General features: G+C 46.4%; 3 long non-coding RNA genes across 6 annotated transcripts, besides 5 other annotated features; 1 reads left to right on the top strand and 2 right to left on the bottom strand.

Moving 5' to 3' along the window:
* Positions 1 to 331: 331 nt before the first annotated feature.
* On the bottom strand, positions 332 to 5909 carry LOC102725048 (uncharacterized). Of its 2 annotated transcripts, NR_187805.1 has the most exons (3): positions 5830 to 5909; positions 1962 to 2008; positions 332 to 727 (listed from the first exon to the last, which is right to left on the bottom strand). It is a non-coding gene; the product is annotated as an uncharacterized LOC102725048 (long non-coding RNA). The 2 variants fall into 2 exon arrangements; NR_187806.1 differs by lacking the exon at positions 332 to 727 and having other exon boundaries at positions 1879 to 2008.
* Positions 1885 to 2854: an enhancer, noted in NCBI's record as "OCT4-NANOG-H3K27ac hESC enhancer chr6:167658429-167659398 (GRCh37/hg19 assembly coordinates)". NCBI's record gives its function as "activates a minimal SCP1, AML or CMV promoter by ChIP-STARR-seq in naive H9 embryonic stem cells {active_cell/tissue: H9 hESC(naive)}" and the evidence as "EXISTENCE:reporter gene assay evidence [ECO:0000049][PMID:30033119]".
* Positions 5910 to 6586: 677 nt separating the features above from the next.
* Positions 6587 to 10287, top strand: LOC102724220 (uncharacterized). Of its 3 annotated transcripts, none has more exons than NR_187777.1 (2): positions 6587 to 7595; positions 9990 to 10287. It is a non-coding gene; the product is annotated as an uncharacterized LOC102724220 (long non-coding RNA). The 3 variants fall into 3 exon arrangements; NR_187776.1 differs by having other exon boundaries at positions 6587 to 7647; NR_187775.1 differs by having other exon boundaries at positions 6587 to 7706.
* HPAT5 (human pluripotency-associated transcript 5) lies at positions 10283 to 19495 on the bottom strand. Its single transcript, NR_157263.1, has 4 exons — positions 19398 to 19495; positions 15838 to 15968; positions 15235 to 15316; positions 10283 to 10554 (listed from the first exon to the last, which is right to left on the bottom strand). It is a non-coding gene; the product is annotated as a human pluripotency-associated transcript 5 (long non-coding RNA).
* Positions 15652 to 15790: a silencer, noted in NCBI's record as "fragment chr6:167645493-167645631 (GRCh37/hg19 assembly coordinates)". NCBI's record gives its function as "represses an EF-1alpha promoter that drives an FKBP-Casp9 reporter gene in an ReSE screen in K562 erythroleukemia cells {active_cell/tissue: K562}" and the evidence as "EXISTENCE:reporter gene assay evidence [ECO:0000049][PMID:32094911]".
* Positions 19519 to 20051: an enhancer, noted in NCBI's record as "OCT4-NANOG-H3K27ac hESC enhancer chr6:167641232-167641764 (GRCh37/hg19 assembly coordinates)". NCBI's record gives its function as "activates a minimal SCP1, AML or CMV promoter by ChIP-STARR-seq in primed H9 embryonic stem cells {active_cell/tissue: H9 hESC(primed)}" and the evidence as "EXISTENCE:reporter gene assay evidence [ECO:0000049][PMID:30033119]".
* Positions 21165 to 21966: an enhancer, noted in NCBI's record as "OCT4-NANOG-H3K27ac hESC enhancer chr6:167639317-167640118 (GRCh37/hg19 assembly coordinates)". NCBI's record gives its function as "activates a minimal SCP1, AML or CMV promoter by ChIP-STARR-seq in primed H9 embryonic stem cells {active_cell/tissue: H9 hESC(primed)}" and the evidence as "EXISTENCE:reporter gene assay evidence [ECO:0000049][PMID:30033119]".
* Positions 22962 to 23740: an enhancer, noted in NCBI's record as "H3K27ac-H3K4me1 hESC enhancer chr6:167637543-167638321 (GRCh37/hg19 assembly coordinates)". NCBI's record gives its function as "activates a minimal SCP1, AML or CMV promoter by ChIP-STARR-seq in primed H9 embryonic stem cells {active_cell/tissue: H9 hESC(primed)}" and the evidence as "EXISTENCE:reporter gene assay evidence [ECO:0000049][PMID:30033119]".

Below are 24556 nucleotides of genomic sequence, written 5' to 3'. Positions count from 1 at the left end.
GGCGCAGAATGCTAGTTTCTGGAAAACTCCCAAAGCTTTTGTCAGAGGTGCTGCACAAAGTAGCCATGGGCAAAACTGGAAAATCCATTTCTTAGCTCTCCCACCCCTCACCTCTTGTTCTCTACAATTTCTATAATTACTCCAGGTATCTGGCAGTAATTATCATGAACCAAAAGTATTGTGATAAACAATACAGCATTTTAGCTTTCTCGGGGGGTATCTGTACTTAAGAGAAATTAGTAGTTTCAACCCAAGGAAAAATGCCTATGATAGAAGTTCCAAGGTTAAAATATATATATATATATATATATATATCCATCCATCCATCCAATTCAATTAATATGGTATTTATTGAGCTACTATTTTATTCCAGGAACTCATCTAGTTACAGTAGCAAAACAATTTCTGCCTTTGTAGAGCTTTCACTCCAGCTAAGTACCTTTTTTAAAAGCAGCTTACAATGCAATTTCACATTCATCATTTTATGAGAACCTCACAACAAATCTTCCAGGAGCCTGGTATATTAGTCAGCAATTGTCATAATAGTGCTAAGTAACAAGTCATCCCAAAACTCAGTGGTGTATAGGACCATGCATGTTTTTCACTCTCAGGATCTCTGGGTCACTAGTGGCTCAGGTGATCCACGCAGGTTCATCTGGGTCGGATGGTGTCTTGGCTCCAGGCTGTGGGCTGAATCCTGGTCTGTCACACGTATGTTATTCTGGGGCTGAAGGAGCACAGCTGCTTGGGTCATCTTATTTTCTTGAAGGACCCACCCACACACAAGAGAGTTAGCAAAAGCATGCAGGGACCCAGAGCTGGCGCATGGATACTTCTGCCCTCATCCCACTAGCAAGGCAAGTCCCACGGCCGTGGCTAATATCAATAGTGGGGATACAGAATCTGAGGTTGTGGGGAGGACTCTGCAAGTCACATGGCAAGGGTGGATGTACAACCCTTTCTAAGGGGTTGGAAGAATTGGGATCAATAATCTAATCTATCACACCTGGAAAAGTAGCACCATCCCTGCTTCACAGATGGGGAAGCTGAGTTTCAGAGAGAAATGATTTGTTCAAGCGTGCATGGTTATTAGTGTTGGAGCCAGGCCTTATGTCTGAGTTTCAGAGAGAAATGATTTGTTAAAGCGCACATGGTTATCAGTGTTGGGGCCAGGCCTTATGGCTTCCAGCTCAGTGCTCTTTCTTCATTGCACTATTTCAGCTAAGCACCTACCTTGAAGAGATAGAAGGTATCACCTGAGTGTCTTTCATTCACACCAAATAGGCTAGGCTCTTCTGCCATCTAGAAAGCTTGTCCTGGCATTATGGGTTCTAGAAGGCCTGCTTCAAGCTGACAAAGTTGATGCCAACAGTACTTGTTTCTTCCAACCTGTGGCTACATGGAACCTTCGCCTCACTGCACCTCCGTGAATCACTTAATTGCTGCATATCCAGGAGGTGGAGGTAAAAAGGGATTTGGGTCCCATGGAGAATAGGATTTTTTTTTTTTTTGAGACAGAGTTTCGTTCTTATTGACCAGTGCAATGGCGTGGTCTCGGCTCACTGCAACCTCCCCCTCCCGGGTTCAAGTGATTCTCTTGCCTCAGCTCCAAAGTAGCTGAAATTACAGGCACCTGCCACTACACCCCGCTAACTTTTTGTTGTATTTTTAGTAGGGATCGGTTTCACCGTGTTGGCCAGGCTGGTCTCAAACTCCCGACCTCAGGTGATCCACCCGCCTTGGCCTCCCAAAGTGCTGGGATTATAGGCGTGAGCCACTGCGCCTGGCTGGAGAATAGGAATTTTTTGTTAATCCCAGCTCCACCTCATCCCCAGGGCAGGATGGTAGAAATCGGCATAAAAACCAGAGACCCAAACATTCCAACACATTTGTTCATTAAAAGACCAACTGAAAACCAAAATGAGGTGCTCGTGTTGCTAAGATGAAGCCCGGCTACCCACATTATTTTTCTTCATGCTGTAATCCTTCAGGAACAGATCCAGGGCATCTGTCAAGAGACATTAAAACACAGCAGGTTTGAGGAACTTATGACTGCCTCATTATTTTCATGAAAGTGTTTATCTTCCAACAGCCACACTGATACATTGGGTGTCTAGAGAAAGGGGAAAGGTGTTTCTGCCATGCTGATGAAAAAGCCAAACTCTGTAAAATATTTTAAAAGGTTTACTCTTAGCCAGCATGAATGACTGTGGCCTGGATACAGTCTCAAGAGGTCCTGAGAAAGTGCGCCCAAGGTGGTCAGGTGGCAGTTTGGTTTTATAAATTTAGAGAGGCAGAAGTTACAAGCAAGGACATAACATAAGTCAATACATGGAAGGTGTATGTTGGTTTAGCCTAAAGAGGTGGGATATCTCGAAGCAGTGGATGCTCACAGGTCATAGGTGGATTCAAAGGTTTTCCTGATTGGCAGTGGTTGAAAGAGTTAAGCTTTGTCTAAAGATTTAAGAAGTCAGTTGAAACGCTTGAGCAAGAAAAGGGGGGGTTGTAGAAGCCAAGGTTCTTGCTATATAGATGAAGTCTCACAAGGGGCAGCGCTCAGAGCACTACACCACAGTCAGGTTGGAATCTGGCATCTTATTACCACTAAGAGTGGGTTTTGTCAGTCTAATGGTCTCTATTTTCATGTTAATATTGGTCAGTTGTTTCTAAACTTCAAAAGTGGCGGGGGAGGCATAACGAGGTGTGTCTGACTCCCCTTCCCATCATGGCCAGGAATTCAGTGTTTCAGATTTCTGTGGGGTCCCTTTGGCACAGATGGGGCTCCACTCAGACAGTTGAGAGGCTTAGATTTTACTTTTTGTTTCTAGCATCTTATTTTCCTGCCCTGGGCTCGGAGATCTCCCTTTGTCTGCCTTCTGCTTGCTGCTGGTTGACAGACACAGCACAGGTCTCTGATGTCATGGACACTATTTTCTAAGATGGGGTTGTCTAGTCTTTACACAAGGGATTACATTTAGCTACACTTCAAGTATTTTCCTTCCTCCCTCCCTTCCACCCTCATTTCCTGCCTTTATTAGATGAGGCTGTCAGGCTGAATTCTGAATACTTGTCAAGATCTTTTCTGTTATATTGCTAATGATGAGCAACTTTACAAATGCCTTTCAATGTAAATCCATCCCAGCTAATGAGGAAGATCTCACCCATCTGTTCTCCGGGCACATTTTCAGCCTCAGAAGGGAGGCCAAAAATACCACTCTAAAAACTGCAACGAGACCCAGAAGCCTGTTGGAATCAGGTTTCTTTGGAAGCAGTGAGCTTCAGGCATATGTACTATGCAGGCACAGTACCCAAGGCTCAGCTCACAGGGAGGGCAAACCAGCACCCCTCCTCCGTCAGCAGCCTCATACAAAGCAGGATGGTGCAGTACCCAAAGCTCAGCTCACAGAGAAGGCAGACCAGCACCCCTCCTCCGTCAGCAGCCCTGCACGCAAAGGATGGCATGGTACCCAAAGCTCAGCTCACAGAAAAGGGAGACCAGCACCCCTCCTCCGTCACAAGCCTCACAAAAAGCAGGATGGTGCAGTACCCAAGGCACAGCTCACAGAGAAGGCAGACCAGCACTCCTCCTCCGTCAGCAGCCTCACGCAAAGCAGGATGGTGCAGTACCCAAGGCACAGCTCACAGAGAAGGCAGACCAGCACCCCTCCTCCGTCAGCAGCCTCACGCAAAGCAGGATGGTGCAGTACCCAAGGCACAGCTCACAGAGAAGGCAGACCAGCACCCCTCCTCTGTCAGCGGTCCCACAGAAAGCAGGATGGCGTTTTCTCCATTCCTCTGTGTTGTACAATTTTTTTTTGGTGTCCGCACAAACTACCTTTACACTGGATTTCAGGAGACGTGGGAATTAAAATAATTAGCATATTGAAAAGCTTTCATTCAAATTTCAACTCAGTTGACTTTCACATTTACCTTTTAAATATGACTATTCCCTGATCAGATCATTGCAGGGGGTCACATTTTAGGCCTCTATGTTTTTCCTTGGTAGGTTGGCAAATGCACTGAGTTACATTTTATTTTTTTGTAGGAAGACATACAAGAGGACTTCAAAAAATTCATGGAAAATACATATTATAAAAAAATAGTTCATGGAAGTCTGGGTGCAGGGGCTCACGCCTGTAATCCCAGCACTTTGGGAGGCTGAGGCGGGCAGATCACGAGGTCAGGAAATCGAGACCATCCTGGCTAACACGGTGAAACCCCTGTCTACTAAAAATACAAAAAAATTATTAGCCAGGCGTGGTGGCGGGGTACCTGTAGTCCCAGCTACTCAGGAGGCTGAGGCAGGAGAATGGCATGAACCCGGGAGGCGGAGCTTGCAGTGAGCCGAGATCGCGCCACTGCACTCCAGCCTGGGCGACAGAGCGAGACTGTCTCAAAAAAAAAAAAAATGCATGGATATCAACTTTTTTGCAGAAAAATAAATTCATACTAACTTGTTATAACACGTCTGAATAGGATCTAATTTGAAGTACTAAGAAGGATAAGACATCAGTTTGAAAAAAGCCTCTATCAGAGCAACACGAACTCTGCTAAAATGAAAGCAAGAAAAAGCATTAGATTTATGGTGAAGCTTGGGTGGAATAACGGTGACATCATTAATGCTTTATAAAAAGTTGATGGGGACAATTCCCCACAGAATTTAGTGGGTTACAAATGGACAACTCATTTTGAGAAGGTGTGGATTATGGAGGCAAGACACTTCTCATTTGGGTTTGTCACTCTGGGCCAGGGCCCTGCCATCTTCTGCAGATAACTGCTCTCCTTTTGAGAGACAGCTCTTGGCCTGTTACTGGGCTTTGGTGGAAACTGAACATTGGACTATGGGTCAGCAAGTCACCATGCGACCTGAACTGCCTATCATTAACTGGGTGCTTTCTGACCCATCGCCATAAAGTGGGTTGTGCACAGCAGTGTTCCAGCATCAAATGGAAGTGGTATATATGTGATCGGGCTCAAGCAGGTCCTGAAGGCACAAGTAAGTTACACGAGGAAGTGGCTAAAATGCTCATGGTCTCCACTCCTGCCACCCTGCCTTCTCTCCCCCAGCCTGCACTGTTGGCCTCATGGGGAGTTCCCTGTGATCAGTTGACAGAGGAACATAAGGCTAGGGCCTGGTTCACAGATGGTTCTGCATGATATGCAGGCACCACCCAAAAGTGGACAGCTGCAGCACTACGGCCCCTCTCTAGGACATCCCTGAAAGATAGCAGTGAAATGAAATCTTCCCAGTGGGCAGAAAATTTCCGGGGTTCTTCTGATCCTACCCCACAGATGGCTCCTGGGAAAGGCTGATTAATCAGCTGGGTCTAGACTTCTTAAGTCTGAAATACGATGATTTTAAGTCAAGCATGGGATTAGAACAGTGGTTATCAGCCATGGAGGTAATTGCGCCTGTCTCAGGTTCTTGGGAAGGGAAGGGAATCACTCATCCCTGACGGCTTCCTGGGCTGCCCCTGGGCAGAGGCTGGAAGAGCTTGCGTTCTCTGGGCCACATTGCTAAGATTAATAACACGTATGGACACAGTGCAGGGCCTGTGGGATTTTTCACTTACTCCCCACCACTGACAGCCTCAGTTCCGTGTCTGAAGACCGTGTGCCACCCTCCCTGACTCTGAAGAGCCTTGCACCAGGTTCACAGGCTCCTGGAGACACTGAAGTCTGACCTGGTCGCCAAGCCACTCCCTGAAGGAGCAGAGTGAGCTCCAGCCCCATTGCCCATTAGCAAATCGAAGTGGGAAACAAAGACAGCTGCTGGGGGACTTGGCAAATGGCCTGTTTCTGTCCAGCGTAGCCTGGGTGATCACTCACAGTGGCGACTTCCTTTGCCTTAATCAGTCAGTGGAGCCATCGCTGACGTTCTTGCCTTTTCTTTCTTGCAGGACGTTGACAAAGGAACGCACGCCGACACTCCCACATGAACAGCTGGCTGCTTCCCAGCGTCCTACGGGAGAGCTACCGGCTTCTAGGCAACGCTGCGTGTGATCTGTGGGGGAGCCTGGCCACTCCTGGAGGTTCCAAGGTCAAAGAAACGCATTCCGGATGCGACGGATTTGATCTTGGAAAGCTGCTTTGAAGATACGATAGCTATTCCCTATTGTTCACTTTAAGGCAAACAATGTATACATTTTTCTGTGTCAGGCTCCTCTGTGAAGTTAGTGAAACGGTAGCTTAGTTTGCTCCCATCTCCTGTTCCGCCCTGCTGGTTTTCGATTGTGCGTCACTGAATTGCCATCAGAAATCCAGTCCCGACTGCGTGTGCGAGGCCAGGGAGGGAGGTGAGAGGCGGCCTCTCGGACACACTCTGCCATGGGCCGGAAGCAGGAGGCACCCTCTTTGTGATGATCTCTGAGAGCTAAGGAGAGACTCCAGCACCACCCTTTCTCCTGGTGCCCTGTCCATAACTAAGTGTCCAGAAGTCTCCTCCACAGGCATTTTCTCTGCTCATTCTCCTAGTAATCCTGTGAAGGAGACGTGTTCTCCATTCTATAGGAGAGGACTCTGAGGTTCAGAAAACTCAAGTCAGAGAAAGCATGAGGTTGGACTTCGCTTCTTGGCCCGGGTCGGACTGTAGGCTGCTGCTGGAGCTGTGCGGCTTTGGGTAGGTGGCCTGGGCACTATGTGTTCACCAAACGCACTTCCCTTCCATCCTGGGTGCAAGGCGACCTCCGATCCCAGCCTTTCCTGTTGGGCTCAGCAATGGAAACAAGCAGTGGGGCCCTGCGCTCCATGCAGGGTGGATCTAGAACCTTCCGAGGACTTGAAACCCTCAGAGGGGGACAGGGTGGGGAGACACAGAGAAGGCCCAGGAATGACCTTGTGGGAAGTCGCTTATCCACCAGGAACTCTGGTGCTGAACTTTTTCTAAGCGAAAGTTAACTTCTGTTGGATTAAGACCCTGAAGATTGGGCTTTAACACCTGTTGTGTTACCTGCACTCAAACAAACCAGGGCTCCTTACTCAGCCCTCGGGAGCCTTGGCATTCTCACCTCTAAAGCAGGAGGAGTCGTGATACCTGCCTTGAGGAATTTGAGCAAAGTTAAACGACCTGAACTATTTGGGCGTTTCTTGACCAATGTCCGACCTTGGGAGGTGCTGGATGAATTTTTATTTCTCTACTTTAAGTCAGCCTTTCTACCTTGTTGCTCTTCTCAGCTGCCTTTCTCTGAGCCTCCTTCATCACTCTGTTCATTTCTGTGAGACAAAGATCATTACAACTGCCTTAATATTTCGGTGCAAGACGCACCGTGACCTGACATTGCTCTACCCCGCCTCCTGCCACGATCATTCTTTTGTAGCAATATTCCGCCAGCTTCATTTCATGCAGTGAGTGGAACAAGAGTCAGAACACCAGGGCGGCTGAGCCTATCGATCAAGCCTCCACCTAATGACAGACATACTTGAGTCCCACAGTCATAAGGAGGATGAAGTCTCTCTCTGGCTGGACCTGGACTGCAGTCACACTCTAAGAGCTCCTCTTTCTACACCTCTGCCAGTGGGCGTTCGGTCAGAGACAAGCTATGGCACCGGCTCCCGGACGCACGGGAGGACTCCTACCAGGGACAGAGTCCGCACAGGTGACCTGAGTGGCTGTGCACAGCCTTTGCTTCTGAGACGTGCCGGGAGCAGGTATCTCCGCAGGCCCAGGCGCCTCTGGCAGCCTTCAGAGCAGGGCCCTCTTCAACAAGGTGATAGCAGAAGGGAAGAAAAGCAGAGGTCTGTCTCAGAGCTTAGAGTAACCCAGAAGCTGGTTGCCCCCTTTCAAGGGAGAAACGCGGGGTTTCGCATCAGGAACCTGTTGAGGAAGTTCTCATCAGGCCCAGCAACACACCCAGGACCAAACTCCATCAGTGATGACTAAAAAATGTGTGTGGGGGCTGGGCACAGTGGTTCCTGCCTGTCAATCCAGCACTTTGGGAGGCCAAGGAGTGAGGCTCACTTTAGCTCAGGAGTTGGAGACTGGCCTAGGCAGCATAGTGAGGACCTATTTCTACAAAATAGTAATAATAATAATAAAGCCAGATATAGTGTTGCATGCCTGTAGTCCAAGCTACTTGGGAGGCTGAGGTCAGAGGATCTCTTGAGCCCAGGAGGTTGAGGCTGCAGTGAGCCATGATTGCACCACTGCATTCCAGCCTGTCTGACACAGGGAGACCCTGTGAAGGAAAGAAGAGAATGAGAGAGAGAAGAGAGAGCGAGAGAGAGAGAGACAGAGAGAGAGAGAGGAGAGAGAAAGAAAGCACTTTTTCCTAAATTAAAATAAGTGTATGTGTACGTATATGGATCACACACACACACCCCCTTTTATTAATCACTCGCTGCTCACCAGGCACTTGCTGTCTGGTTTACATCACCCTCTTGGTACACACAACCATAAGCATGTTTGAGGTAAAAACCTTAGTCAGCCTCAGTGTCCGGTCCCAGGTCCCACAGCCAGTAGCCAGGGAAGCCACAGGCTGAAGCTGGACCTGACCACTAGGCCAATGGTAACCACCATGCCACATGGCCCCCAAAGGGTCGTGTCCAGCTCTGGATAAACTTGTCCGGTTAGTTCAGGTTTCATGGCGTGGCATAGAGGACCCCGACCGTTCATCACTCATTGCTGTCTCCCCAGTTGGCTGTGGCCTGAAACTGCCTGAATTCAGTCAACACTGTTGCCGTCTTGCATCCGCCGTTCAGGGGGTGGGTACCCATGGGAGGGCCTCAGCTGGGACAAAGGTCCACTTCTGTCTAATCAGTGTAACTTTGGAAACAACCCTTTTGTGCCGGGACAGAGTAAACTAACTTTAAATGTGAATTTGCATCAATTGAACATTTTTAAGGGTGACACTTTTACCTGGTGGCCCACTGGGACCAGGACAAGGCAGCAGGAGGGGCCCGATGTGTGACTGAGAGGAATGTGTGGGCAGCCCTGCATTTGTGTTTTGCCCTGGGCCCCTAAATCCTGCAGCTGGCCCTGGTAGAGAGCTGAGAAGTTAGAACAAAGGACACCTGCCTAGAGGCTGCTTGGAGGTGGGGGTGGGGGGTCTGTGTTGATGTTGATGCTGGAGAGGTATATGACACCTGTCTTACTCCACTTTCTGTCATGGCCTGAAGCAGTCTTTTAGGTTAAATTTTACGAGTGTCCTGGCCATGGAGGAAATGCATTCAGAAATGCATTGTGAGACAGGATTTTTCCTTTGACCTTGACCCCCTTTGTGGGAAGGAACTGTAGTGGCTCATTTCACTCAGCGTGCGGTCCGTGGACAGCCAAGTGTTAATGGCCCAGCAAAGGGTCAAGGTCACAGCCTTCTGCACCCACCCTTTTTGACACCCAAGTTCTTGTTCAGTGTCCAGGAAGAATCAGGTCACACAGACTGTTTGAATGATGACAAAGGCAGAACTGGAAAGGGGGTGGTGTGGAAAGAAGGTGATCTTGCCGTGAAGCACCGTCCTCCCCGGCCGGGTTCCCCATGGAAAACGACACCATCTGAAGTCAGCGCTGTCAATCGGGAGTCTCTGACACTCGGCCACTTGCATCCCCACCGCTCAGCAGCTTGCATCGCTGACTGCTTACCTCAGCAGCTTCTTTGCTCTGCCAGCTGAAGTCTTTTTATGAGCACAGGATAGGATACAGGGAGGGCCAAAAAGGCAAACAGGTCAGCTGTTTTCACTTAAGGCCAAGGTTCTAGGCTTGAGGGTGGAGTTTAGTCAGGAGCCCATCCATTCTCTATCAGCTGGGGGGCCTTAGAAATGTATTTTTGGTTTACAGGCTCATCTGCCTGTGGGGCCCTTTGTGACTGCCCAGGCAAGCCCCTAACGCTAACCCGCTCCTCTCTACTTCCTCCTTCTAACCCAGGCGACATCAATCACTTACTCTCTTTCTGCTCTTTGCTCTGGTCCCAGGGAAGCAGGTCCTTTCACTCCTTTCCTTCCCGGGCTTGTGCATGCTGGGTCAGGCCCCATCTCACGGAGACTGCTTATCTTTTCAGGTACCAGAGCAATGAGGAAGCAGGACCCAGACCCCTGACTCCTAACTCCAGGTGAAGTCCACCCTGAGCTCAGGAGCAGAGCTGCCTCCATCGGGTGTGGAGAGACAGAGCCTCCTCCCCAGCCATGCCTCCTCATCGGCCCACGGGAGCTGCTGTGACTCTGACCCCTGTACCTGGCTCTGTCGACCGGAATAGTCAGTGGGCAGCCAGCACACCTTTGGGTGCTCTGTATGAGTGGGATTTTCTCCTGATTAGACATTTTAAAAGATTGTCAACAAAAAGAACAAACTCTGTAAAATATTGGAGAGATTTATTTCGAGCCAAACGTGAGTGACCACAGCCCGTGACACAGTCCTCAGGAGACCCGGAGAACGTGTGACCCAGGTGATCAGGGCACAGCTAGGTTTTATACATGCTATAGGGCATAAGGCATCAATCAATACATTTAAGCTGTACATCAGTTCAGACGGGAAAGGTGGCACACCAGGAAGCAGAGGCTTCCAGATCACAGGCAGATTCACAGATTTTCTGATTGGCAGTTGGTTGAAAGAGTTTATCTAAAGACCTGGAACCAATAGAAAGGAAATATCTGGGTAGGATAAGGGGTTGTGGAGACCAAGGTTCTTATTACGCTGATGCAGCCTCCAGGTAGAAGACTTACAGAGAATCGATGGTAAATGTTTCTTATCAGACTTAAAAGGTGCCAGAAACTTAGTGGAGTATTTCCTGGATGAGGAAAAAGGCCTGGAAAGGGAACAGGATTTTCTACAGAATATAGACTTTCCCCACATGAGACAGCTCTGCAGGGACATTTCAAGATATGGCCAAGAAACATATTTAGGGTTAAAATATTTGGATTTTCTTCCTTATCTGTCATGTGAGGTTACACCAGAGTAAGGTTGGAAAGAGCCGAGTTACACAGGGTTAATAAGACCCCTCCAATGAGGCTTTGTGGTTTGTAGGGTGACCTCCCCAGGCCCCTTAGGTAGGAATTTGGGCAGGAGAGAAAAAAGGTCAGAGTTTAGTCCTCAAGGCACAGACTTATGTTCTTGACCCTCCTTCCATCTGGTGGTACATTCAGGCTAACGGAAAAATCCTACATATTCCACGTTGGATCCGTCCTCCCTCCTCCTGACTAAAGGGTTCTAGGTGTGTGTGGTGATACAGCTGGGATGGTTATTCCTTCCGGAAGCTTCATCCTGTTTTTCCTCCTTCTGATGTCCAAATTCCTGCCTCACACACTGGGGTCTTTTGCTTTGTCATTCACACATTAACACAAGGCCTGGATGCAGAAGGCTGATTCCTGTTAGTGCCTGTGATGGCAGCAGTGGGCCATCTGGTGCGGCCTGGCCCCTGCCCGCACGCAGACTGCTGCGGGGCGTGTGCAGGGAGGAGGTGGACAGCCCCCTCCCTCCACCCGCTGCCCTGGGGGCCGCCGGGATGGAGCTAGGCGGGGTCCAGTTCACCCACCGGCGGGGCAGCCGTGCAGTGGGGCAGTAGCTCCTCCGACAGAAAGGGGCCTGATGAGGGCTGGGCCGCACTTCGGGGATCCGGGGCAGGAAGGGATAGTGACACCTACTCAGGGGACCTGGCCAGCTGGGCACCCACTGTGCCCACCCCACAGAGGGTGCCGGGTTCCTGGGTCGCGGGAGGAGGCTCTGCGTGGGGGCTGCCCAGACCGTATCCTTGGAGTCCGCCTGGCGTCGGGGTGACCACCAAGCCTGCCATTCCTGAGGGCGGGGCCTGAGGCCCACGATCCACTCTGCCCTGGGCCACCCCTGAGTACGGGGGCAACAGGGGGAGCTCGTGGTAATGTTGCCCCTGCCCTGGACGCTGGCCTGAGCCCAGCAAGGATCAGGAGCCCCTGCCTCAGGCTGCAAGGGGTCACAGTTGGGGCTGTGTGCCCCACGGAGTGGGTGGGAGCCAGGAGCAGGCAGCAGCACCGCCAATCTCTCCCGCGCGGCTGCAGCCGCCCGAGTTGGGGCGGTAGACACGAGCCTCTGTGTGCTCTTGGAGGGCTGAGGGTAGGCAGGAGCCGTGCGCTCCTGGGTGCTGTGGCACTCCAGGGTGCCGCCCAAACTGGGGATGCTGACCTGACCTCCTAATCCAGGCGGGTAGGAGCCCCACCCTCCTGGACAGGGCTGCAGCCGCCCATGTTGCGGCTGCAGATCTGAGCCTCCCTTTGCTCTTGGGTGGGTGGGGGCAGGCAGGAGCCCTGCATGCTCCTAGGCACTGCTGCGCTCGCGGAAGCCGCCCGAACTGGGGCTGCAGACAGGGGCCTCCAGCTCCATGGCGCAGGCAGGAGCCCCCACCCTGCACACCCGCAGTCGCCCAAATCTGCCGCTGCAGCCTCTGGCATCCCTGCACTCTTGGGGGCCGGGAAGGCCACGCCTACCCTTGGGGGCTTGGAAGTGCCTCCTCCCGCTGCCTGGGTTCTCCCTACTATAAGCCCCTCTCTGATCTTGGTACAAAGTCAGGGCAAGCCCCAACACCATGAATGGCAGGGATGTGAGACCCAGGCAGTTTAGGTGACCTGCTCAAGGACGCACGCTGTGCACAGTGGCTGAGCCTGCTCCTGTCACGTCCCAGGAGACTTCAGAGTCCTCGTGATCCCAGCTGTGCTGTGCTCCTCCTTCCGCTGTGGGTCCAAGGCATGGTTTATACCAGGACTCCTCCATGTTTGGGAAACCTTCACGGGGCACCGCTGCTGTTATTTCTCCTCCCTTTCTTAAGTTTAAGCAAAAAGTTCCATCCATGGGTAGCATTCTTTACAACTTAGACTCGTCAATGATCAGCAAGAATTTAGACTTTGTCAATCTCAAGAAAATGATTATAAAATCCAGACAGTGTTCCAGGGCTATCTGACAAGCAAGAACACCAGTAACTTAGTTCATTAGATGCCTTCCAGCGACAGGATGCTACTTAGACAAGTTCCCCTGAAACTCAGGGCTGCAAGTCTCTAGATTGATTATCTGCAAATGCAGCCATCTGCTTCCTGCTGTGACACTTCATTCCTCCGCCCTGGCTGCACTGCAGACAGACGCTGGGGAGACCTCGCCTTCTCAGGGTGGCACTGTGTGGAAGCCAGGGCTCACCCGGCTCTGTTCCCACAGGGTGGGAGTTTTTCATTTTAACAGTTACAGAATCATCTACACGGATGTCACCCTGAGAGTTGTAATCCCCAGGAGAAGTTGTCATCCATGTCACTAGCACAGCTTGCTGTGTATTCTGTTTTGATTTGGGCTTTGATTTTTAATTAATTCTAGTGAAAATCTTTTAATGAAAATCTTTGCTTCAAATTTGAAAAAGGTAGACAGCAACCTGCAACACACAGGCAGATGATCAATAAATAGTCCTCTCACTGAAGAGTGGTGTGAATTCGCTAGTTAAGACATACCTATTAGATATGTTTAAAAAATGTGTTTCAATGGAAAACTGTAACACATACTTCTGGGTTGTTCATTGTCTTTGAACTATTTTACAATTCTTTGCAAATTGCAGGTAACTGATGGAGATATATAGACATAGATCGATCTATCTATCTATCTATCTATCTATCTATCTATCTATCTTCTGCCCTGTCTAGTAGTGATTTTTACTGGCTTCTTTCTCCTGTAAAAAATTTGAAAATAAATAAATAAAAAAGTTTTCTTTCCATTTGCAACTCATTTCAAAATTCCTTTACTCCATATAAATTTGTATTGTTTTCACTTTTCCTTTAAACTATTTCTAACATCTGCCTAGTTCCCTTCTATCATATGTGTAAAATAAAATCTTTAAGAGTTGTGTATTTTAATATCTTGGTGCAAGTCATTGTTTTACCTTTTTCTGAAAATTATCTTTCAGATAATATATAAAGAACATGCTGTACTGTTTAGATTTTTTTTTAATTTTGCAAGCGACCGGAATTGTGTTATTACCCAAATCAATGTTCCTGAGCATTTGGTGAGCAGAATTTTTAAGGAAAACTTGGTGGGTGCGGGGGAAGCCAGTGAGCTGGGAGCGCTGATTGGTCAGGGGTGAAATCACAGGGAGTCAAAGCTGTCTTCTTTCACCGAGTCAGATCCTGGGTGGGGGCCGCAAGTCAGATGAGCCAGTTTATCCATCTGGGTGGTGTCAGCTGATCTATCAAGTGCAGGGTCGGCAAAATAGCTCAAGCACTAATCTTAGGAGCAGTTTAGGGAGGGTCAGAATCTTGTACCCTCCAGCTACATGACTCCTCCACCATGATTTCTTATCTCGTGGTTATTGTTAGCCCTACAAAGGCAATTTAGTCTTCAGGCAAGAAGGAGGTCTGCTTTGGGAAAGGGCTGTTACCGTCTTTGATTTAAACTATAAACTAAGTTCCTCCCAAAGTTAATTCAGCCTCGGTCCAAGAATGGACAAGGACAGCTTGCAGGTTAGAAGCAAGATGGAGTCGATCAAGTTAGATTTCTTTCACTGTCTCAGTCATAATTTTGCAAAGGTAGTTTCAATCCCTCCCTTTGTGTTTTATAACACCTTAATCTTGAGGTTAGCCTATGAAGATGGGAAAAGACTGCGGATCGCTCTGGCGTCTTCCTGCTGACAGAGGGCGTAGTGGGAATGGGAGTGAACCCCAAGGTGAGAGGAGTGAACCCCAAGGTGAGAGGAGTGAACCAATTTACTGCTGTCTGGGCGACGCATGCAGGTCTGACTGGGCTTCCAAACCTTGCATGGCAAAAGCATTAGTACCCTCATCTATACTTTCAGTACAGTATTTAACTGAACAGTGTACCATAAGGTAAATAACGAGTCCTAGGATGAGCAGTACAATTCCCAGTTTTAAAAGCAATGATTAGAAAGCATGAGTTTGGGGACTTCTAACCCACAAAGAATTTAGGAATTAATCCAAACTGCAGAAAAAAACCTCAATAACAGCTAACAACAGGTGTACTATAGCTTTCTTTTGAAATATAATTTTTCTCTCTTCAGTCCCCATTTTTATTAAAAACAAATCATGATAGAACGGATTTGTTTACAAAATCAACTTTAGTCTTCCCGTACTTGGCCTGATCATTTGCAGCAAGAATAATTATTTTTCACTTAGGCTCTTTTTAATGGGCTTTGATGGAATTCTGTTCCATGAGGAATCCCACATATGACTTTTTAAAAGCCGAGCCCAGCCATCGGTTTGTACCCTCAAATAACTATGAGTTGGGTAAATTCCTCTCCTCTTGAGGCCCAAAGGTAACTTGGGGTTATCTAAGTGACATTCATTACTTACCACAGGTCAGGAACCTTGTACAGGAACTGCATAGATGAGGTATGAGGTCAGATTCCCCAAGAGACTTATACCTGATTATAAACTGCCAAAGCAAGACGAAATGTCTGTGTATGATAGAAGTCTTAAGATAGCCACTACTAAAGCTACAATTGACTAGAATTTTGTTTACTTCTGTGGCATACAACAATTTTGTATAAAAATTATAATTATTAATAACACTAAATTATATCAGAATTATAGAAGTTTCCCATAATTTTGAAACACATACTAATAACATATCTATACAGATACAGTCCAAAGACAACCAAACACTATTCACTCTTCTATTTGAAAGTTTTTTTCTCTATTCTAACGTCACAATCTCCAGGTTATTAATCAGAAATCTGCACTGAAGAGCCCCTGTTAAATTTTATAGCTGATTATAAAACCATCCTTTAAAGAGGACTGGCCAGGCACAGTGGCTCACACCTGTAATCCCAGCACTTTGGGGGACCGAGGTGAGTGGATCACCTGAGGTGAGGAGTTCGAGACCAGCCTAGCCACCATGGTGAAACCCCGTCTCTACTAATAATACAAAAATTAGCCGAGCATGGTGGCACACACCTGTAATCCCATCTGCTCAGGAGGCTGAGGCAGGAGAATTGCTTGAACCCGGGAGGCAGAGGTTGCAGTCAGCCAAGATCGTGTCATTGCACTCCAGCCTGGGCGACAAGAGTACAAGAGTGAAACTCCATCTCCAAAAAAAAAAAAAAAGAAAAAAAGAGGACCAAAATGAGACAACAATTGCCTGTGGATGACAAAACATTTTAGGGCAGCCACAGTTAAAGACACAATTGGCAAGGAAATTTGTTACCTCTGTGGCACACAGTCATTTAACATAATAATTATAATTATTACTGATAACTTATACTAAGTCATATTAGAATTATAGGTGTTTTACATAATTTTGAAATATGTGTCAATAACATATTTGCACAAATATAGCCCAAAGAAAGCCAAACACCATGTCATATTTGACAATGCTTTCTGTATGATTTTTATACCAAATAAGCCAAATGTCATTTTTGGACTTTAAAGAACCTAATATCTAAAAGGTTAAAAAGAGACATAATTTATAATTTGGTTTTGGAACGTTTGTCAAATATCAAAGGTTTAAAACACTGAATATCACAAAATAGCATCCCAGGTCACCATAAGTCATCCATTTGGCCAAAATGATAGCTCCAAAAATTTTAAAAAGGAAAAATCTTTACTCTGATAGAGGAGACTTAGCTTTCCAACAAGACCCAGTGAAGATAGCATGAGGCCAACTGAGTCTGTCTTTTCTCTCTCCTCCCCTTTTTCCCTGCCACTTACCTAAAAGAGGAAAGAAAACCCTTTCATTATCCTTTAATATTACATAAAAATCATCTTCAAAAGAGAAAACCAAATTTCATGTTTGCATTAGTGCATCTTTAATGCTAAAGCTAGTTTTTAAATAAAATTTTATATATCTGTCCAGTTTTAATTAGTTTGACCATAAGGTAAGATTTTCATGAACTTTTTAGAACCCTTTCCAATTTTCCATCAAACAGCAGATCAATTTTCTAAGCAAACCCTATTATTCGGACACGTGGGCCCAGACGCTGGCCCTGTATCAGTATGGTTTTAGTGTTTTAACTTATGGAGAAAAGCTAAATAATTTCTTTCAAATCTTAGCCAACTTGTTTATACCCACAGAATTTTTTTTTTTTTTTTTTTTACAAATCAACCCTTTACAAACCCTTTTCACTTTGAGTAAGCCTTCGGTTTTATCCCATTACTCTTTTAGGTTAACACAATCTTTAAAACCCTCTGAACTAGACAAAATTACATTCCCTTTAACAGAAGCCATATTCCCATACCTTCTTATAATCTTTTATCAAAAACACATTCCCTACACACCATGTATGTAAAGCTGTTTCTCCAGTGGTCTCAATGTTACATTGTTAATTCTTAGCAGCTTTTGTTTTTAGTGAAAACCCTGATGAGTAAGTGATTTTAATTATGTACTGGGTGGAGCCCAGGACATCAGGCAGAAGTGAAGATGAGGTCTGACTCTTTTCAGCATGGCCAGGGGCATGGCTCTCCACAGCTCCCCAGGCCTCCTCTGTCATCTAATCCTCCAAAGCAGGTAAACTGAACAATTTTTCCAAAGGAAACAGTTTGACCTTAAAGCATTTAGCAAATCTGATATCTGACCTTAATTTAGACCAAATACCTACATTTTCAAGACATGTTATTTTACCAGTAATCTTTAAAACTGTCTTTATTTGCAAAAGATTACTAAAGCCATTTGAAGAAAAAGGCATTAAAGATTTTTTCTGTCAAAATATTTCATTTACATGCTTATTTTTCTAAGCCAATTATCAGAGCTCTTTTACATACAAACATCACACACCCAACACATATAAATACGCAGACAGAAATACAGAAGATTTAGCACTTGTAACATTTTTCATTTGCCAGTTTTCTTAATTGGATTACTGACTTCAGGGTGGAGCCCTTGAAGGAACAGAGTCAGGAAAGCATGCAATTCTTGGGCCAAATAAGCAGGAACAGGTGAAGGCAAAGACAGATCCCCAAAGTTAAGGGTGCCATTTTATACTGGATCTTGAATCCTCAAAAGGAGGAAAATCCTACAGGAGAAGAGACAGTGCAATGCTTCTACGTGCATTTCATGGCAAGGCCACCCAAAGCCAATCAGCCCATCCCCCACGGGAGCTTCATCTCTCAGCTGAGGGTGGGGACCTTTCCATGTCTTCCAGGTGTCCACGAGCATTTGCTTCTCTGATCCAAGTGTGCAGTCAAGTATCCCTCCATAACTACTGCTAGCCATCCCCTAAAGTATTTCCTACCTTGTTATTACACACCCAAGCTCTCTCGTAATGTGAAGTAATTTCTTAAAACCCCAAGAACTCAAAACTGTCAGATAACACAATGCAAAACAGAGCAGAGCTTTTGATTTTGAGAGGGATCTATCCGCTTTTAGTTCCTAGGGTTTCATGAGGAAAACAGAGCTTTTTTCCAAAACAGGGTCTATGGTGCCTCCTGTTTTTTTCAAGGAGTACCAGGCTACCAGAAGAGGACCTCTCATGTATGCATTAAGATTAGCAAGACAAAAAAATTGAGAAAAATAATTAAGTCGACTGAGAAGAAAAAAACCTTTTTTCCAGAAAAACAAGATCCAAGAAGGGAACAACATAAATGCCTTTTAAATATATCTATAGCTTGTTTATCCACTTTTAATCAAGCTGACTTTTAACCAGAGCGCTCTTAAAAAAAAGTCCTTTTAAATTTCTTATTACCCGACTTTAGCCAGGCGGCCAATATTTCTGGCTTTTGAACTTTACCAAAGGTGACCTCCCAGATGCTTCAAAGACATGGTAAGCAGTTTCTTTTTTACAAGATTTAGAATCTTCCCAAGGTAGTTCAGAGAAAGGAAAATTCAAGAGAAGAAATCAGAAACTCCCTGGGGGGGGGAAAAACAACTCAATAAATGGCAAAATTACACAACTAACAAATCAGAAAGGAATAATTCCAGAAAGCAAGAATTGAACCCAGGCCACCATCATCAAAAGGCAAAGCCTTAGCTACTGTATTATGGCATTGAGCAGTTTTTATTGCTTTTCCCAGAAGGGTCCTAGAGAAGCCAATTTCAAGCTTGCCAAGGCTTTTAACTGGTCAAGAAAATTTTTAGGGCTATGACATGAACTCTAAAATTCCTGTCCTCTAAGACCGAATCTAAGAGAATCTAAGGCCGAATCTAAGAGAAAGTGTCTGCACATGGTCACAAGGTTAAGCTCTTAAGGACACAAAACAAGACAGAGATATTTCATCTGGTATTGGTTTCAGGAACCCACAGCAAAATTTGTAACTGACCAGTCTGCTGGGCTGGCTTGTAATGCAGGTTATGGGGTCCTAAACCCACGTTCTAGCCTGTGCTATCCCTCTGTCCATTACAGAACACAGAAAGACAAATTCTCAGCACAAAGTACACCAGATTTGCTATAACCTAAGAGTAGTCTCACAAATCCCTTGTCTATTAATCAAACCCTTGCAGAGAGACAAATAGTGACGATTACCGTTTACACAGACAGAGGAAGAGAGAGAGACCAGAAACTTGGCTGGTAAGAATTTCTTACCCTTTTTGCCGGCATACCAGGTTTCCGGGCTCCCTTTCTCTGCAGCTTCCAGAAGAATGGAGCAGCTCTGATGACCCTGCTCGCTAGTGCCATGGCTGTGGGGTTCAAACCACTTTACAAGAGAAAATCACCCCTTTCTGTGTTATGGAACCACAGACAAGATTCTTAATTTGCAAGATGCTGCCCAACAGGCTGCCTGGGGAACCCAATTAACATTTTCCATCCCAGCGAAATACACATAACAAAACAGACATGAATCACCTCATTCAGCACCCACTATCAGCCTGGCAAAGCCCAAACTTTCTCCCGTTGGTCTCTGTTGTCTTTGATCCACCCCAGCTGGGGCGGGATGACCTCCAAAGGGTAATTCACAATGGGGTCTCTGGGCAAGGCGAAGAGCACATAGTCACCCCGAGACAGGCCTGCTGAGCATTTTTCAGGGCTCACCGAATGTGACCAGACAAATAAGGAGGGTTCTCTGAGTTAGGCCTGCTGAACGTCCATCAGCAATTCCCTCTGAGATCCCCTCCACATATACAAACACACATAAAGACAAGATGAACACAGCGTTTTCCAAATCAGATCCCTAACCAAGAACTCCAAGAGTGTCCCTTCCAAACTGTCCTTCTATTCTCCATCTGAGAAATCTCCTCGAAATCTTCCTGATTGAGGAGAAGTCTCCCAAACCAAGACTCTTTCTACTAGTTAGAAAGAGCCAACTGAGGCTGGGCGCAGTGGCTCGCGCCTGTAATCCCAGCACTTTAAGAGGCCAAGGCAGGAGGATCACTTGAGGACAGAAGTTCGAGACCAGCCTGGCCAGTGTGGTAAAATCCCATCTCTACAAAAAATGCAAAAATTAGCCGGGCATGCTGGTGCACACCTGTAGTGCCAGCTACTCAGGAGGCTGAGGCAGCAGAATCACTTGATCCCAACTCAGGAGGCAGAGGTTGCAGTGAGCCAAGATTGTGCCACTGCACTCCAGCCTGGGTGACAGAGGGAGACTCTGTCTCAAAAAATAAATATAAAAGAAAGAGCCAACTGAGACCCCCAGGAGACAAACTGAGACAGACACCCCGAATTGGGTTACAGACACAGACACCCCATGGTGGAGCTACAAGCCAACATCCCTCAGTGGGGCTACAGACACCCCACCGGAGGGTACAGAACCAGTCAGCAGAAGGAAGGAGGCATTGGCAATGCCTAGGATACTCACCAACCCAGATATCCTGCAATGGGGTTACAAACATATACCCCACCATGGGGCTACAGACAGACATCCTGTGATAGGGTTACAGTTAAGAGATGCCTCCCCAGGACTATAATTCTATTGCAATTAAATCCATGCATATTGCGTCGGCAGCGCCCCACCAGCAGAGAGAATACCACAATTAGCCCCTAGTCCGAGAGAACTACGTGGCCGCTTGGTCTGGCCTCTGGATCCATCGCTGGAGAGGGGGCTACTGAACCATGGGCAGGCAGCCACAAGGGCAATCCCGGATGAGCCCACACATTTGTAACTGCCCAAGGGGTTCACCTTGCCCACTGCCTAGACAGAGCTGATTTATCAAGACAGGGGAATTGCAATAGAGAAAAAGTAATTTACGCAGAGCCAGCTGTGCGGGAGAAGAGAGTTTTATTATTACTTAAATCAGTCTCTCTGTTTAGATTTTTAACCCATTGCTTATATTTTGTTCTATGTGAGTGAGAATGGGCTACTAGGAATAAGAAAATATATTCTTTCTTTGATTCAGTTGAGTATGACCGTAAACGAAGGGTGCAATACTCATGGAATTTTCCACCGAAAATTATGTGTATATTTGAAATCAAGCAGAGCAGTGCAACAGAAAAATCAACAAAGATGCCAGATCCTTATCCTTGGAGGATAAAAAAAGTAGGCATGTGTGAAAGAGATTAGGACTGCCTGACATATGATGGTTAGTTGAATTTAGTCTGAATTTCAGTGGAGTCCAGCTGGGAAAACAAGACTGCATGAAATACCTAGAAAACAATACCAGGCAATCCACAATTCACTGTGAGATTGTGTAATAAGCGATGTTCTTAAGGAAGTCCATGAGCGCAGGAAGGTATTTGCTTTGAGAGGATTCCAGTGCCCTTACTTCCTCTTCAGTTCCCGTCACTGGCCTTTTATTGATGTGTATTAGTTTGAGACTTCAAAACCCAATCTCATGTTTCAAGGTACAGATGTAACTGTACATTAGATACTCAAAAGCCGAGGATGAGGTCTCGGGATCAGCAAAGCTGGCCACCTGCCTTGAGAGCGGCTCCTACCCCCTGCAGGCGCCCCCTGATCTCAGGTGGTGCCTTCAAATCCTTTGTAGAGGCTGGGGGAGGGGAAGGAGGAGCACATTTGTTAATGAGGGGGAAAATGCTGTGTGCTTTCAAGGGAAAATGCTAAATTCATTTCAATAGCATATGAATTACTTGCTGTTAAGGAATAGGCACCCTTCATCTCAATAGAACCCTGTCTTTCAAAGCCTTCACTTCCGTATCCTTGAGGTTTCTCTTCAAAGAGGGCTGAGCACATTCACCCAGGCACTAGGAGGCCCTGTGCATTTTTTGTCCTGCTGTTTCCATGGATAATTTAAAAAGAATTATGAATATCTCAGTCCTTAGAGAGTCAAAGAGCCCCGAGACCGCTCAGTCTAGGTCTGCTGGAGTGGCTCCCTTTGTGGGTCCCTTTGCTGGCTGAAACCTGGCCAGAGGTCGCGGGGGACAGCACCCTGTCTTATCATAAGTTCCTCAAATGATTGTTGTATAGTATAGACCAATGTATCACCTGCTGACGCTGGAGAGGGCACTGTGATTTTAAGATGAGCTGAAGCATGAAGTTTTACTGATTTGTTTTCATGTGGACATTGTTAGCCTGCAGGTCGTAATCTGTAGTAATGATTGTGACCTCTGAGTTGCATCCTCCAAAAGAAAGAAGACTACTCATTTAAACTCTCCTACAAAAACCTTTGGCCTTGTGACAGACTCCAGAATGCTGTCAACTCCGTGGGTATGTCTTCCCAGGTCCAACCTCACATTTGGCTTTCAATAAACTGTGATAAAATTATTTCTGCCTCAACAGTCTTAATTTCAGCTGACAATCTCAAGTCCACCAGTGATGAGGGGAGCAAAGCAAAGGACACAATTTGCACAGCATCTTATTGTTATGGGAGGAGAAGTGGCTGCCAACAGGACCCCAGGACAATGGGAATGCAGTTGGCTTCAGATAAGAGACAAAAATGAGGCTTCAGATGAAAGTTAACGCCTAGGATAACAGGCTGTGTGAGCGGGTTGTATTTGATGGGAATATTGAGTATGGGCCCGTGATTGAGAACTCACAATTACAAGAAAAACTTTTTTTATAATGTACATTTGCTCTTTGTCAAAGTTATACTGCAAGGAAGCTGACATGATTTCAGAGTTCAAAAATATAAAACAAACTGGACTCAGTCATCTCTCTCACTGTATGTGAATAACAAAGAAAGAAAGAATTGGTGTAACAAACTATGACTCCACAGAGATCCAACAGTACCGTTTCTTAGGAAGTCTAAACCAAAAAGTGTCTGAGGCTGGTCCCAATCAGTGTAAAGGTTTATTCTGTCAAGTTTGAGGATGTGCCTGGGAACAGGGAACACAAAAGCACAGGAACATCTGTGATCTGTGCTTTTTCTTTTTCTCTTTTTCTTTTTCGAGATGGAGTTTTGCTCTTTTTGCCCAGGCTGGAGTGCAATGGCACAATCTCAGCTCACCGCGTCCTCCTCCTCCCGGATTCAAGTAATTCTCCTGCCTCAGCCTCCCGAGTAGCTGGGATTACAGGCATGCGCCACCACGCCCAGCTAATTTTGTATTTTAGTAGAGACGGAGTTTCTCCATGTTGGTGAGACTGGTCTCGAACTCCCGATCTCAGGTGATCCGCCCGCCTCGGCCTTCCAAAGTGCTGGGATTACAGGCATGAGTCACCGCGTTGCCCAGATCTGTGCTTTTTCTAAGAGCATTTTGGGCCTTCAATATTTAAAGAGGAAAAGTGAGCAGGAAGGGAAAGAGGGAGCATAGGGTCACATTCTTGTGAGTCTTTGATTAGACTTACTGAATCCACGTGTTGTGTGTGAAAAGGAGGGGAAGAGGGAACACTCAGTTATGTATTCATGTCATGCTCAGTAAGTTGGCACTTATCTAAGATAAGGTGACCACAGAGCAGCTGCCTGTGGAGACACCTGGCCTTCTATGTGAGGCTATCTGCTTAGGAACAAAAGGAAAGGCAGTTTCTTGCATGACTCAGCTTCCAGCCTTAACTTTTCCTTTTGGCATAGTGAATGGGTTCCCGAGATTTTATTTTCCTTTCACAGAAGGAAGCTGATCCCTGCTGGCCTCACACAGAAAGGGGAATAGCCACAGGGCCCAGGGTGGAATTTTCACCAAGTCCATTTGCAGAGGGTGTCCTTGCGGTGGGTCCAAGACAATGCCCCCTTGTTCTGCACACTGTTCCTACCCCATCCACAAAGATGGACCTTGTGGCAATGTTGGTGGCCTCTGAGCACCTCCTACGCCAGGTGAATTAGCCTGGGGGGATGTACAACTCAAACAGATCACGATCTGCCTCTTTTACTAAGAATTGTGTTTTGGAACTGTCAGAGAATTGAGGCACTTTTTCCTTATGAATGAAATTAGGGGAAAAAAATGCATGCTTCATTGTTAAGGAAATACAGCAATATTGAATCAGGTACCTGATTGGATCAAGGTTGATACTGGAAATGCCCATCAACAAGCCCTTAACTTGAACTTACTGTGTCGGTAACAAAAAGGGGTACAAACTTATCTCTCTCCTGAGAAGCTTCAAGTTGTCCCCGCTTTCCAGACTGAATCAATGTACTTCTTGCATATATTGATTGATGTCTCACATCTCCCTAAAATGTAGAAAACTAAGCTGTGCCCCGGCCACCTTGGGCACATGTCGTCAGTACCTCCTGAGGCTGTGTCACGGGTGCGTTCTCAACCTGGGCAAAATAAGCTTTCTAAGTTAACTGAGACCTGTCTCAGATTTTCAGGGCTCACAGATGGTAAAAGGAAAGAAATCTGTAGACATATGAAAGATAAATTGAGTCTTCCTGACATGAGGGCATTTCAGTAAACACTTTCCTAGAGTCAGGGGC

Source organism: Homo sapiens, chromosome 6 (genome assembly GCF_000001405.40).
Source record: "Homo sapiens chromosome 6, GRCh38.p14 Primary Assembly".
Lineage (NCBI taxonomy): Eukaryota > Metazoa > Chordata > Mammalia > Primates > Hominidae > Homo > Homo sapiens.
Note: the sequence above shows the minus strand (reverse complement) of the source record. Positions and strands in the feature narration are given on the sequence as shown.